The following is a 15,557-nucleotide window of genomic DNA, read 5'->3' on the forward strand; positions in this document are numbered from 1 at the left end:
GAAGATTGAGTCATCATTTCAACACTCAGAATGAAGAATAAGTATAATACATAGAGTTTAGAAGTGCAGTAATTGAAATAATCCACAGTATTACTGTGAGATGTCAGGTCTCCATGAGTCTTGTTTACTTTCTTTTTTCTCTCTAATTTTAAAGGGATCTAAAAAACCACAGATGTACTTAGGTGAATGGATATAGAATTCACATCTATGACAGTATTGCCTGTCAAGGAGATCAAATCCATTCAGTTAATCTGCCATTTCTCAATGTTAAGAGGGAGCGAAAATATTTTTAAAAAGTTTTAGTTTACATGATGGCCAAAATGGCTGACTGGAAGCAGTTAGTGTGCACTACTTTCACAAAGAGAAGAAAAAGTGGTGAATAAATACTACATCTTCAATTGAAACACCCAGGTGGGCACAAACCCAGGGATTCATCAAACAAACAACTCAACCCAAGGAGAACACAGAGGAGCAAGAATAGATTAATGCCTACCTGACAGTGGCATGGAGCCAGAGGAGGCTCCCCGACCACTGGGAAATGGTGAGAGAATGAGAAACCCTGGGACACACACTTGGTCCATAGATCTTTGCAAGCCCTGGTCTCAGGAGATGCCCTTGTGAGCTCATCCCACAAAAACCTTCAGACTGATATGCAAAGCTATGGGAGTCTCAGCAGAGCCACTGCTGAGGCATAGCCAAAGTCCCAAAAGCCTTTGATCCCCAGGCATTCCAGCATTAGTGGCTTCAGCTCTGGCAAAGGGGGAAGTTAGTCTCCTTTACACACATCCAGGAAAGGAGCCAAATCCAGGGGGTTGAGCAGCAACTGTCTACAGGCTTCACTTACACTGCACCTCACAGGATGAGACCCATTGGTCTAGGACTCCAGCCTCCCACCACTGGGGTTATGAGGCTAGTAGCAGCTCTGCACTTCCCCAGGACAGATCTCCAGGGCAAGGGGGCAGCAACTTTCCTGCCTTGCAGCCCTCACTGTTGTTGCCTTCAGGCTCTGGAGAGCCTACAGTGACTAGGGACTGGCACAAACCCCCAGCACAGCACAGCTGTCCCACAGAAAAATGGCCAGACTCTTTTTTTTATGTGGATCCCACATTTCTCCTCAGTGGATGGGAGCTCCCAACCTGGGACTCCAACCACTTCCCATCAGGGCTCTCAGGTTGGTAGCAGCTCTGCATTTCCATGACACAGAGCCCCTAAAGGGAGTGGTAGGCTGCCATCTTTGCTTTCTCACAGCCCTCACTATTGTTGCCTTCAGGCTCTGGAGAGTATGTGGTGACGAGGGACTAACATGTAACCCTAGCACAGTGCAGCTGCTTCATCAAAAAGTGGCCAGACTGTTTTACATGCAGGTTCTCATCCCAACTTCTCCTTAGTTGGTGAGGCCTCCTAACCTTGGACTCCAGCACAACCACCCTGCCCCCACTTGAACACTTCAGTTGGGGGCAGCTCAGCATTTCTCTGAGGAGGAAATCTCAGAGTCAACCCACAACCTCTTGGCCATTGCAGCTGCAGTAGTACTGCCCTAACCACCTTTCGGCTGAGGAAGGAACAAAGGGCCTAGTCACTTCACTGGCACCCAAGCACTCCACAGCCACCATACAGAGAGGAGTTCAGTCTACCTTCCCTGTGAGCCCCCAGCACCCACTCTTCAGCAGGCAGGGCCCCTGCTCAGGTCCACAGTTTAGATGCCCCACAAACAGCTGAGAATACCCACTGGTAGTGGCTCTGAATTTCCTGGGAAGGGGCTCCAAGAGGCAATCAATGTTCCTTTCTGCCACTGTCACAACAATGTTCTGTCTCTTCTGTTCACAGGCTGGGGAAGAAACTGAGCCTGAGGGCTTCACCCAAGCTTACAGCACACCATAGTCACTATACAGAGAGGAAGCCAGTCTCTCCTCCCTGTAAACCCTCAACCCCCAAGTCCCCAACTAGGAGGGGTCCTCAGCTCAGGCTACCAGTGCAGCCACCTCAACCCCTGGCTGAACATTCCCAGGAACTGTGGCTATATGGTTCTCAGAGGTAGAGTTCCCAGAGGCTACTGAAAACCCCTCTACCACTGCCACTGCAGTGGTACTGCCCTTTCTGCCCTTGCCCTGGGGAATGAGCAAAGACCCTTAGTGCTTCAACTGCACCTTGAGCAAGCATTAATTGCCCTATGGAGAGGTTACTGGTCTGTCTGCCCTCTTTCCCCGCCACTCACTTGTCACAAGGTATGCCTCCCTGGCTTGGGCTCACAGGACAGCTGCCGCAACCCAAGTTGATCACACTGACTGATAGCAGCTCCACACCTCTCAAGATGGAGCCCCAAAAGATAAGTGAAAGACTCTCTATCACAACCACTGCAAAGTTCCTTTCCCCTGTTACCTCTAAGCTTGGGAGGGAACATAAAGCCTGACATTGCCCCAGAGCTGAGATACACAGCCCAGCAGTGTTAAATTGACATCTTCAGCCAGCACTGAAGTGAGAGAGGAACTCTTACTTTCAGAGTGCTGAGAAGGAGCATGGCTATAGTCATGAAGAAATACAGAGAAGCCATGTGACTGAGCAAAAGCTTGCCTACTGGCCATTACACTTAAGTACCACCTACTGGATTGCAGCCCAAAATTTCAACACCAAAAATAATTTGTTAATATACCCTTCTGTGATATCAATGACAAGAATTCAGCTAAAAATAAGGACCCTGCAAAAAGCTTTGGCCCTCTGAAAGCATCTAAAAAAGAAGTCTACTGGTGGTCTTCAATTTATACCACAGTTAAAGGTAAACCCATCCACACAGATGAGAAAGAACAAATAAAAGAACTCTAGCAAATCACAAAGCCAGAGTGTCTTATTCCCTGAAAATGGCTATACTAGTTTCTGAGCAAGGATTCTTAACTGGGCTGAAATAGCTGAAATGACAAAAATAGAATTCAGATTATGGATAGGAATGAAGATCATCGAGATTTGGGAGACCATTAAATAATTCAATACAAAAAATCTAACAATCACAATAAAATAATACAGGAGCTAATAGATTAAATCATATTTTTAAAAAACATCTGATAGAGCTGAAAAATACACTACAAGAATTTTGTAATACAGTCACAAGTATTAGCAGCAGAATAGATCAAGTGGAGGAAAAAAATCTCAGAGCTTGCAGGTTGACTCTGAAATAACTCAGTCAGCCAGAAATAAAGCAAAAACAATAAAAAAGAATGAACAAAATATCAGAGCAACATAGAATAATATGAAGAGACCAAATCTATGACTTATTGGTGTCCCTGAAAGAGCCAGAGAGAAAGCAAGCAACTTGGAAAACACATAATCTTGAGATTCTCTAGTATCAAAATAAAAGAAAAAAATGTCAAAGGCAGATAGAGAGAAAGGTACGGTCACCTACAAAGAGAACTCCATCAGGCTAACAGTGGACCTTTCAGCAGAAACTCTACAAGCCAGAAGAGATTGGGAACCTATATTCAACATTCTTAAAGAAAAAATTTCCAACCAAGAATTTCATATCCAACTAAAATAATCTTCATAAGTGAAGGAGAAATAGAATCCTTTTCAGAGAAGCAATGTTGAGGAAATTCATTACCACCAGGCCTGCCTTAGAAGAGGTCCTGAAAGATGCTCTAAATATGGAAAGAAAATACTCTTACTAGCCACTACAAAAACACACTTAAGTACACAGACCAGTGACACTATAAAGCAAGCACACAAGTCTGCAAAATAACCAGCTGAAAACATGGTGACAGGATCAAATCCATACATATTAACACTAACTTTGAATGTAAATGAGCTAAATGCCCCAATTAAAAGGCCCAGAATGGCAAACTGGTTAAAAAACCAAGATGTATTGGTATGCTGTCTTCAAGAGACACATCTCACATGCAGTGACACACATAGGTGCAAAATAAAGGCATGAAGAAAAATCTACCAAGCAAATTGAAAACAGAAAAAAGCAGGGATAGTAATCCTAATTTCAGACAAAATAGAATTTCAACCAACAAGAATTAAAAAGACAAAGAAGGGTATACATAATGGTAAAAGATTCAATTCAACAAGAACATGTAACTGTCCTAAATACGTATGCACCCAACACAAGACCACCCAGATTGATAAAGTTCTTGGAGACCCAAAAGGTGACCTATATTGTCACACAATAATAGTGGGAGACTTCAACAATCCACTTACAGTTTTAGAACATTGAGGAAGAAAATCGACAAACATATTTAGGAGCTGAACTCAATTCTTGACCAAAGAGACTAAATAGACATCTATAAAACTCTTCACCCAAAACAACAGAATATATATTCTTTTCATTGCCACATGGCACATACTCTAAAATCAACTACACAATCAGACATAAAACAATCCTCAAATATTTTAAAAAATTGAAATAATACCAACCACATTTCTCAGCCAATGGCACAGTAAAAATAGAAATCAATACAAAGAAAGTCACTCTAAATCAGAAAATTACATGGAAATTAAACAATCTGCTCCTGAATGACTTTGGAGTAAATAATGAAACTGAAGCAGAAATCAAGAAGTTCTTTAATAGTAATGAAAACAAAAATAAAACATACCAGAATATCTGGGGCACAGCTAAGGCAGTATTAAGAGGGAAATTTATAGCAGTAAATGCCTACATCAAAAAGTTAGAAAGATCTCAAATTAGCAACCTAACATTGCAGCTAGAAGAAATACAGAGGCGAGAGCAAATCAACCCCAGAGCTAGCAGAAGACAAGAAATAACCAAAATTAAAGCTGACCTGAAAGAAACTGAGACACAGAAAACCATACAATAGATCAAGAAATCTAGAAGTTGTTTTTTTGAAAACTAATAAAATAGATACACCACTAGGTAGAGTAATAAAGAAGAAAAGATAGGAGACCCAAATAAACACAATTAGAGTTAACAAAGGGTACATTACCACTGACCCTGCAGAAATACAGAAAGAAAAATCAAACACTGCTATGAACACCTCTATGCATACAAACTAGAAAATCTAGAAGAAATGGATAAATTCCTGGACACATACACCCTCCCAAGACTAAACCAGGAAAGATTTTAATCCCTAAACAGGCCAATAATAAGTTTCAAAATCAAATCAGTAATAAAAAGTCAACCAATCAAAAAAAGTCAGGACCCAACAGACTCACAGCAGAATTCTACCATGTGTATAAAGAAGAGCTGTTACCATTTCTACCAAAATTATTCGAAAAATACTGAGGGAGGAGCTCCTCTCTAGCTCATTCTATGAGGCCAGCATCATTTGGATACCAAAACCTGACAGAGACACAACAAAAAAAGAAACTTCAGGCCAATATCCTTGATGAACATTGATACAGAAATCCTCAACAAAATACTGGCAAACCAAATCCAGCACACATCAAAAAGCTTATACACCATGATCAAGTAGGCTTTATCCTTGGGATAAAGGATGGGTCAACATATGAAAATCAATAAATGTGATTCATCACATGAACAGAACTAAAGATAAAACCCACATGATTATTCCAATAGATGCAAAAACAGCTTTTGATAAAATTCAATATCTTTTCATGCTAAAAACCCTCAATAAAATAGACATTGAAGGAATATACTTTAAAATAATAATAGCCATCTGTGACAAACCCACAGTCAGCATCACACTGAATGAGCAAAAGCTGGAAGCATTCTCCTTTAAAACAAACACAAGGATGCCCTGTCTTACCACATGTAGTTAACATAGTATTGACCAGAGCAATCAGGCAACAGAAAGAATAAAAGGCATCCAAATAGGAAGAAAGAAAGTTAAACTATCCCTGTTTGTAGATGCCATGAGTCTATATCTAAAAAACTTCATCATCTCGGCACAAAAGCTCCTTCAGCTGATAAACAACTTCAGTAAAATCTCAGGATACAAAATCAATTGCACAAATTATTAACATTCCTGTACATCAACAACAGTCAAACTGAGAGCCAAATCAGGAGTGCAATCCCATTCACAATTGCCACAAAAGAATAAAATACCTAGGAATACTATTAGATCTCTACACTTAGAATTATAAAACTCTGCTCAAAGAAATCAGAGATGGCACAAATGGAAAAAGTTTCCATGCTTATTGTTAGAAAGAATCAATATTGTTAAAATGGCTGAACTGCTCAAAGCAATGTGCAGATTCAATGTTATTTCTATCAAACTACAGATGACTTACTTCATAGAACTAGGAAAAAATATTTTAAAATTTATATGAAAGCTACAAAGAGTCTGGATAGCCAAGGTAGCCCTAAGCAAAAATAATAAAGCTGGAGGTATCTTGTTGCCTGACTTTAAATTATACTACAAGTCTATGTTAACCAAGACAGTCTGGTACTGGTTTAAAAAACAAAACAAAACATATAGACCAATGGAGCAGAATAGAGAGCCAGAAATAGTGCTGCACATCTAAAATCATTGGATCATTGACAAACCTGATAAAACCAAGCAATGGTGAAATGACTTCCTATTCAATAAGTTGTACTGCAATAATTGGCAAACCATATGCAGAAGATCAAAACTGAACTCCTTCCTTACACCAGATACAAAAATCAACTCAAGATGGGTTAAAGACTTAAATATAAAACCTAAAACTATATAAACCCTGGAAGATAAAAGTCAATACCATTCAGGAAATAGGAATGGGCAAAGATTTTGTGACAAAGACACCAAAAACAATTGCAATAAAAGCAAAAATTCACAAATGGGATCTAATTAAAGAGCTTCCACACAGCGAGAAACTATCAACAGAGTAAACAGACATCATACAGAGTAGGAGAAAATATTTGCAAACTCTGCATCTGGCAAAGGTCTAATATCCAGAATCTATAAGGAACTTAAAGAAATTTACTAGCAAAAACCAAACAACTCCCTTTAAAAGTGGGTAAATGACATAAACAGACACTTTTCAAAAGAAGACATGTATTTGGCTAAAAAGCATATGAAAAAATGCTCAACATCACTAAACATTAGAGAAATGAAAATCAAACCAACAATATGACACCATCTCACACCAGTTTGAATGGCTGTAATTAAAAAGTAAAAAAAAACAAAAAACAAAACAACAAAAAAAACTTTGACTTTAGACAGCCATAGGGAATACCTTTTTGCATTGTATTACCTGGCTTCTTTCAGCCACCTACATCTAAATGTTGAAATCTCTTGCTACACTTTGGAAATTTTCATCTATTATTTCATTAAATAGGTTTTCTAATCTTTGTTTCTTCACCCTTAGTAATACTGACAATTTGTTTATCTTGTCATGTTATGTTGTCCCAAATGTCACAAAGGCTTTGCTCTTTCTTTTTTATTATTTTTTGTTTACTTTTGTCTGACTGGATTATTTCAAAAGACCTATCTTCAAGTTCTAAGATTCTTTCTTCTGCTTGGTCTAGTCTACTGTTGACCCTTTCAAATGTATTTTATATTTCCTTTAATGGATTCTTCAATTCTAAACTTTTATTTGGTTCTTATTGAAAATATCTGTTGCTTTGGTAAATTTCTCATTCATATTCTGAATTTTTTAAGTATTTTTGTGTTATTTTTCAGAATTCTCTTGAATATCACTGAGATCCCTTAAAATCAATGTTTTTGGCCAGGCATTGTGGCTCACACCTCAGTACTTTGGGAGGCTGAGGTGAGTGGATCTCTCAAACTCAGGAATTTGAGACCAGCATAGGAGACATGGTGAAACCCTACCTCTAAAAAAAAAATTAGCCAAGCATGATGGCACATGCATGTAGTCCCAGATACTTGGGAGGCTGAGGTGAGAGGATTACTTGAATCCAGGAGGTGGAGGTTGCAGTGAGCTGAGATCACACTTCTGTACTCCAGCCCTGGGCAACACAGTGAGATCCTGTCTCAAAAAAAAAATCAATATTTTGAAAAAAACAATATTTTGAATTCTTTATTGGGAAATTAAATTTTCTTTTTGATTAACATCTATTGGCCAGGCATGGTGGCTCACGCCTGTAATCCCAACACTTTGGGAGGCCTAGGCTTGCAGATCACCTGACGTCAGGAGTTCAAGACCAGCCTGGCCAACATGGTGAAACCCCATCTCTACTAAAAATAAAAAAATTAGCTAGGCACAGTGGCACATGCCTGTAGTCCCAGCTGCTGGGGAGGCTGAGGCAGGAGAATTGCTTGAACTCAAGAGGCAGAGCTGCAGTGAGCTGAGATTGTGCCACTGCATTCCAGCCTGGGCAACAGAGCCAGACTCCATCTCAGGAAAAAAAAGAAAAGATCTATTGCTGGATAATTAATGTGTTCCTCTGGAGGTGTCATATTTTCTTGCTTTTTGTGTTTCCAGCGTGCCTACATTGATGTCCACACATGTAGTATAACAGTTGCTTCTTCCATTTTGACATTTACTTTTAGTAGAGGAGGACTGTTTTCTGGAGATGTATCTATGGTATTCAGTGGGTAGGGCACTTTGGCTGTGATTCTGGGTACACAGTAGCATAGTCTCTGGGTGATTTATTTGGCTGTAAACAACATTAGTAGTATTTGTGATTTCCTTGGTGAGTTAGGGTGCAGTCATTAATGGAGATTGGTGAAATTTTGCTGTGGACTAGTATGTTTTGTGGGCCAGTCTTTAGGCCACAGCGGTGGTAGCAGTTGGCTGAGTATGCCTATCTTTATGCCCTAGGGAAGTGCACACTGCTACATGTCTTGGTTTTTACCAGTGTGTTAATTCTTGGGCCTCTAGGCAGCATGCTTGGAGGCCAGTAGTGGCAATGGTAGATCAATAGGTGGGCAGGTTCTCAGGCCTCTAGACAGTTGACATGACATGGGCATTCATAGTAGCACTGGAGAGAAAATTCTCTGGGTCCCTAGCAGTGTGTGTTGATGTTGGCAGTGGCTACAGTGGGCTGGGTGCACTGGTATCCAGGCCCACAGCATATCCATTTGAGAGGTAGGTGCCACCTGAAGGGGTAGCAGCTAGGAGTTTAGACCACACCCCAGGCCCCTGAAAGAGTTACTTAAGTTCCCAGGGTGGTGGATTGGGTTGGACAGTCTCCAGGACCCCAGGCTATGTGCTTTGTTGAAGAGGTGGTGGTGCGGCTAGGTTGGATAGCTTGTGCTCAGGCACCCTGGTGGTGAGAGTAGGCACTAGCCATGGGGGGCAACAGGAGAGCAATTCTCAGGTCCCAGGCAGAGTGTATGGGGCACGGGTAGAAGCAGCTTTGTTGAGGGCTTGCCACTGAAGAGGGTGAGGCATCCCTCTGGTCACATCCTTGTGCTGGCAGATGGGGAACATGCAAGCCCTTCAAACCCTAGTCCTTATGGGATTTGCCTCCCCTACCCTGGCTTCAAGAGCCCTCACTCAGCTTGCAACCAAGTCCCAGCAGCAACTTTCCCTCACCTCGTGACCCCACCTCAGATCACTCACTTCCTGGCACTAGTTGCTGCCTCTCAGGCCTAGCTCATTTCCTAGCCCTGGCAATGAGAGTGATCCCTACTTGCTCTCCTGTCCCAGCAGTGACAACCCAAGTTTTCATAACGCCCCAGTCCCAGCACTGCTGGGCCCCAGGATAGCATGAAGTTGGCAGAAGCTAGTTGCTGTAGCCACTTATCTCTCAGAAAGAATGTGGAACCTAGTGTGAGCTCCCTCGCTGGAGCAGTTCCATCCCACAGTCTCCTGGCTGGTCGTCATGTTAGTTTCAGGGTTTGGGAGGGTCAGAGGGCTCTTTCATGGCGAGGATTATACTATTTCACAGTGGGGATATGAACTGCTAGAAGTCTATTACTTGCCCCTTCTTTGCATTAGGAAGTCACTCCCAGCTCCTAGCCTAACCTGGGAAAGGAGGCTGCCTCTTCTCCTCCTTCCTCTCAGATTTTAGTTTCTCCTGTTACTTCTCTGTTGAATTCCAACATCATCTCTTGGATAATGTACTCATACTGTCACTGTCTATATACTGCTCTGGTTTTTCTAAGTGGAGGAGGCAGGCATAAAGTGGTTTTAGTTAGCCACGATAAACTCCCCATCAACATTGTGGTTTTGGTATTTGATTTTCTTTTATTTGTTACTGTAAGTGGAAAACACCACCTTGGTCTATCATGTTAAAATCTTCTTAACTTGTTGTCTTCTTTTGATTGTGGTTCTGTGCAGGAGAAGTTCTTGTTGGTTGTGTTCTCAACAGGTTGCTTGCTAGCTCACAGATTGTGGCTGTCACTACTGGAAATGTTATACGCTCTGGTGGTGAAACTCCAAGGAAAGAGAATAAAAGTCCTATTTACTTATTAGGTTCCAATTCTGAGTCAGAATCCATGCTGTGTCCTATTATAAGTGTGATGTATTCCTTTCAAGAGCCCTATGAAGTGGACATTATTGTCCTTATTTTGCAGATAAGGAAACTGAGGAGACTTGGGGTCACACAGAATCAAAGTTGAGATATAACCCAAACTTACACAAAAGCTCACTAGGCTAGTGCCAGCATCTATAGGACTAAGAGGGAAAAGAGCCGTATGAGAAGAGGAAATAGGTATAAAACAGCTACTTAAGTCCATTAATTGTGAACATGCTTGCTTTTTATCTAAGTCTTCCTAGAAATCAATGTATTTTTAGTCCTCTATTAAGTTGTGCATTAGGAACCAACTAGAATGTACATGACTGAAGTAGATGGGTAATGAATATAAATTGTAGCCCCAGCTAAAAAGGACTTAGAATCCCAGCAGTCCAGACAATATCCTGTTTGGAGTGACATCTTTACCACAGAAGCTATTTTTCATGGGTTTCCCAGACTCCAACCCTAGATCAGGGATGGAGATTGAAATTGAAGGAAGACTACAGACCAGGAGATTTAACTATCCAGTTGGTCCTCAGCATCCTGTTCTTACTGACTCCCCCATGCATCTTGCTTGAAGTGTGGACTCCAATATGGACCATCAGAACCTAACCTTTTAATCAATGAACTAGATTAGTGCTTTTAAACTACACATCATGACACATCAGTGGATTATAAAATAATTTTATAGAGTTGTGGCCAACATCTTCTAAAAAGTGGAATATGGTAGGATAGGATAGGATAGAAAATAAAATATCAGGATGCATAGTACAAAACAGGTATAAGTATTGTATTGTAAACTCATTTTATGTGTGTGTGAGTTTATATGTATGTAAAGGTGTAGAAAAACATGCATACATTCATACACACATAGATACAGTGAATATAAATATACACAGGACTATATATGTATAAGTGAATGCAATATCACATGAGTTAGCTATTTGTTCTCCAGCCAAGGAAAACATTTTATATTACCCTGTAACATGCTTTCATACTCTGAAAATTTGGACAGGAATGCTCCCAAACTAATAGCAATATAATTAAGTAAATTACTAAGTGTTTTCTTTATGGTGTGTACAAATAAATACTTTATTAGAAGTTAGCAGTTCAACTTGTAAGGATATCAAATGACTAATATTTTCAAAAATAAAAAAATTGAGTGGAGAAAATACAGTTTATGAAAAATATTTTTATTTCTTCTATATTTTCTGCTCTTTGTAATAAATAAGAATTGTCTTTTATAAAGAGAAAATAGGGATACATATTTAAAACCAACTAAACCTTCAATGTTCTATACATTACAGAAGAAGCTATTTTTACCACAGTCCTTAGAAGAAAAAAATGAAAAATTACAAAAATGCAGAACAGCTTCCAAGAACAAAATATCCTTTGGTGGTTTGGTTTTATTGATAGAGCCCATGACTAAGCAGTAAGTGTCTAGTTTGTGAACATTTTCTGATGACTGCTTACAACTCACAGGGAGTTTAAGTAAATTTAAACTTTATCACTCCATGACTGTTGAAACAACAACAGGGAGTTTCTGTGTGACTTGAGCTTTTCCCAGGAGGAAAGGCTTCTTCCCATGCCCTTGCTGATAAAGGTGGCAACTTGAAAGTGTTCTCAGTATAGTTAGATCAAGGTAATTCTTAAGCAGTAACTTATGAGGCACCAGCATTCCAGCACTGATTGACTTTGGTCCTCATGATCATCTATAAAGTAGCCACTCATAATATCCCTGTTTCACAGATGAGGAAACTAAGGCACAGAGGGAAAGTGAGTGTGACACAGTGTAGAGTGTCATGCTAAGGACTTTGGATCTGGAATGATTTATGCAGGGGAGTGAAATATTTCTATCTGTGTTTGGAAAAATAATATGGGTAGCAGTGCATAAGTTGTATTATAGGTGAAAAATACCAAGGGGGTGAAAACTAGTTGAGAGACCATGCTTCACTCTCTCTCTCCATTCCAGCCCTGCAGAACTATGAACTGTTGTCCAAACATGCAAATGACTGAATTATCTAGTGTCTTTTTACATATTATTCTTCTGGTGACAGTTCCTGTCTTCCCTTTGTCCCCCTGGCAAATTCCTCCGCCCCCTTCAAGAGCTAGTTCATGGAACAATTCCTGTCTGCAGAATCAGCTAACATGCCACTTGCCTGTGTGAAAGGCAGCACAATGTGAAAGCAAGAGGAGGGAGTTGAGAGTCAGACTTATCCGCTCAGCCTCTCCCAAGCTGTGTCCTCCCCGAGACTGTCAGCTCACCTCTATATTGGGAATAATACTCTCTAACTTGCAATGTGGGTGTGGGAATTTTAGATGATATTCTGGCATTTCCTAAGCATCTATAAGTTATGTTTTTCTTAATTAGTTTGTCATCCTAAAAACCCACCCTTTCCACCACCACCAAAGAGATTGAATGGCACCATGTTCTATTTTCTCTTAGGATTTTTATCCTATGTCTACACAAACATTGTCACCTTGGGTAAAAATTACATTAGCTCATGAAAAATGACTGCAGCTTTCTCATTCCACAGCTAGATTCTGCCTTCTGACCCATTGTGGTAGGGTGAATAATGCCCCCCACCCTTGAGATCCCCATGCCCTACTCTCTGCAACCTATGAATATGTCATTTAGTATGGCAAAAAAGTCTCCACAGATGTTTTAATGTCCAGAGATGGAAATGGTTTCTGGATTATCCAAGCAGGTCCAACGTATTCACAAGGCTCCTTATGAGAGGTAGGTAGAGTTAGAGGCAGAAAGGTCAGAGGAGAGAGGGGAGATGTGACAATGGAAGCAGAGGTTGGAGTGATGCAGTTTGAAAATCAATGGAGGGCCCATAAGCTAAAGAACGTAGATGCCTCTATAAGCTGAGGAAGGAAAGGAAATAGATTCTCTTTTAGAGCCTTCAGAAGAAACACAGCTATGATCATACTTTGAGTTCAGCATGTTCAACCCACTTGGGACTTGTGACCCCCCAAATTGCAAGATAATACATTTGTATTGTTTAAGCCACTGAGTTTGTGTTGATTTGTTACAGAAGCCATAGGTAACTAATATACCAACACTGCAACAACTTCCTTTCTCCCCAGAGTAGAGCAGTGCCTTCCTGAGGGATGAATAAAAACATCATCTAGTACGTCTCCTTGTTTCCAGAATTTGTGGGCATAAAAACAGTCTTATTTATTTACTTAATTTTTTAAAAGCCATCTGTGTTACTGATATTTATTGGCAAAGGTAATAATAATGGTCAAGGTAAATATGTAGCTATAAAGTACTGCAATCATGTAAATGCATGAATATGTATCAGCCAACATGTAACACCAAGCATAACCAGTATTCACACCTTCCTTCAAAATACTTTTTGCTTAAAATACCGGAATTTTTTTCTTCCATGAAATTGTTATGTGTCAACACAATTTTTGCACTATTATTAAGAAGTATTTTGACTATACTACAACTTGATTTATTTTGTTTATTTAAAATCATAAGGATAACACAAATATCAGAAGTTCTTTCACAGTTAGATTGAAACTGGAAAAAAGAAGTATGCTATATAGCAAATGCACACACGTAGGCAGCTAGTAGCTAACTCTCCAAAAGTTTCTTAATTATTTTCTTGTACAGCGGGGCTTGCAGGTCCAAGCAAATTTTCCTTCCATTCTTCAGCGTGGCTCTGGCAGGGAAAAGAGAAGAGATGTGACTTTCAGTCCTTGGGTTTGCAAATGGCATTAGAAGGGGGAGGGTTGGGCAGAGGAGGCACGGAGCGGGAGCACTGACAGATGCAGTGCAAGGACTCACATCAGTTGGGCAGTGGGGCAGTGGGGTCCGGCCTTGATCACCTCCAGGCTGGTGATGTGCCTGGGACGGACCTGGGAGGTGGTCTTCACACACAGGCACTGCAGGTCCCCATCTTCTTCAGCTTCAGCTGAGGGGGAAATGGAGAGGGTAAGAGAGGAGGAGGGGAGGGAGTGGTGACTCCATGAGTAGCCAGAGGTACTTTAGGGACTTTTTCCACTACCTTCAGCCTTCTTTTCCTTACCATAAATCACACCTCCCCCAGACAGAAGTTGTTCTAACCAGGTGGGAGGTGCAGGTGCAGCGCCTGGCACTGTGGCCAGACACTCAGCAGGCTCTCCGTTAAGTGTGGCTGTGATCATGATCCTAGAGGATTCCTCCCCAGCCCCAGGGCTTCCCGGACTCCCCCTCGCCGCTGCCAGCCCTCACAGCCTGGCTTCTGCTCTCACCGCTGGCGAAGGCGACCACAAGTGGCAGGAGCAGCAACCCCAGGAACAGCAGCCCGGGGCGTGAGGCGCAGAACCCGGCTGCGGAGCTCATGCTGCGGCAGAGCTTCCAGCAGGATCTCAGTGCTCAGTGCGATGGGAAACTCGGGCTGGGTCTCTGTGGCCAATGACTCCTGAGCCTCGCCGGCACGTTTTATTCCCGGCTGTCCTTCCAGTCCGGAAGCCTGAAGTGGACACCGAGGAACTGCGGTGCGGAAACTAAGATAGTACTGGGAAGACTTGGGTTCTGGCCAGCCAAGATTACCAAAAAAAAAAAAAAAAAAAAAAAAAAAAAAAAAAAAAAAAAAAAAGAAAAGAAAAGAAAGAAAGAAAGAAAGAAAGAAAAGGCTCTGGGCAGCTGCCTTGGCTGGGACCTCCAACCTCAACTTACATACAAGCACGTTTGTAGAGTTAGAAACAGAACTTGAGTCAGAAAAGGAATGTTTTTTGTGTTGTATTAACAGTAGAGTTCTCTGCTGTCATCATGCAACTTACACAGTAGGTGCTTTCAGGACCCTGACAGTTCCTGTTTCCTTTCCAACCTCCCAGCTGCAACTACCAATTATTACTACTGAGTTTGGTGGCTTTGTGTGTGAAGCATGTGTTATTCGCAATTATTTTCTGCTACTAATAAGTTTAATTTGGTCTCTAGGCGATGACTCTTTTGAATTTCACCTGAATGTGGAAAACTTCCCTAGTCTCTGGATGGTATTTACCAGGCTCCACCAACAATCACCCAGTATGCTGTAGGACGCAAGGTCTATTTTCCCATTACTCGTACTCTTGGAAAAATTGCAGAAGTAATATTTGAATGCATTCTTTTTGTAAAAGCTTAGTGCCTGGCTGTTTCTTCATTGTTTCCATCCTGAATAACAGTCCAGAAGAGAGGACAAGAAGAGTTTGCCAGGCCATGTCTCCCAGTGCCTGCTGTGTCTTCAGCCAGTGCTAGTGACAGGGTGAGATG

At 41.1% G+C, this 15,557-nt stretch overlaps 1 protein-coding gene across 2 annotated transcripts, besides 2 other annotated features; it reads right to left on the reverse strand.

Annotated features, from left to right (window-relative positions):
- Nucleotides 573-1,074: an enhancer, noted in NCBI's record as "H3K27ac hESC enhancer chr4:74833595-74834096 (GRCh37/hg19 assembly coordinates)". NCBI's record gives its function as "activates a minimal SCP1, AML or CMV promoter by ChIP-STARR-seq in naive H9 embryonic stem cells {active_cell/tissue: H9 hESC(naive)}" and the evidence as "EXISTENCE:reporter gene assay evidence [ECO:0000049][PMID:30033119]".
- PF4 (platelet factor 4) lies at nt 13,506-14,819 on the reverse strand. 2 transcript variants are annotated; one of them, NM_002619.4, is made up of 3 exons: nt 14,558-14,722; nt 14,112-14,238; nt 13,506-13,986 (listed from the first exon to the last, which is right to left on the reverse strand). In NM_002619.4, exons 1-3 carry the CDS (start codon nt 14,646-14,648, stop codon nt 13,899-13,901), a joined length of 306 nt encoding a protein of 101 aa, NP_002610.1. In that variant the 5' UTR covers nt 14,649-14,722; the 3' UTR covers nt 13,506-13,898. The 2 variants fall into 2 exon arrangements, with proteins under 2 accessions (NP_002610.1, NP_001350281.1); NM_001363352.1 differs by having other exon boundaries at nt 13,520-13,986; nt 14,353-14,819.
- Nucleotides 13,674-14,415: an enhancer, noted in NCBI's record as "H3K27ac-H3K4me1 hESC enhancer chr4:74846696-74847437 (GRCh37/hg19 assembly coordinates)". NCBI's record gives its function as "activates a minimal SCP1, AML or CMV promoter by ChIP-STARR-seq in naive H9 embryonic stem cells {active_cell/tissue: H9 hESC(naive)}" and the evidence as "EXISTENCE:reporter gene assay evidence [ECO:0000049][PMID:30033119]".

Source organism: Homo sapiens, chromosome 4 (assembly GCF_000001405.40).
Source record: "Homo sapiens chromosome 4, GRCh38.p14 Primary Assembly".
NCBI lineage: Eukaryota > Metazoa > Chordata > Mammalia > Primates > Hominidae > Homo > Homo sapiens.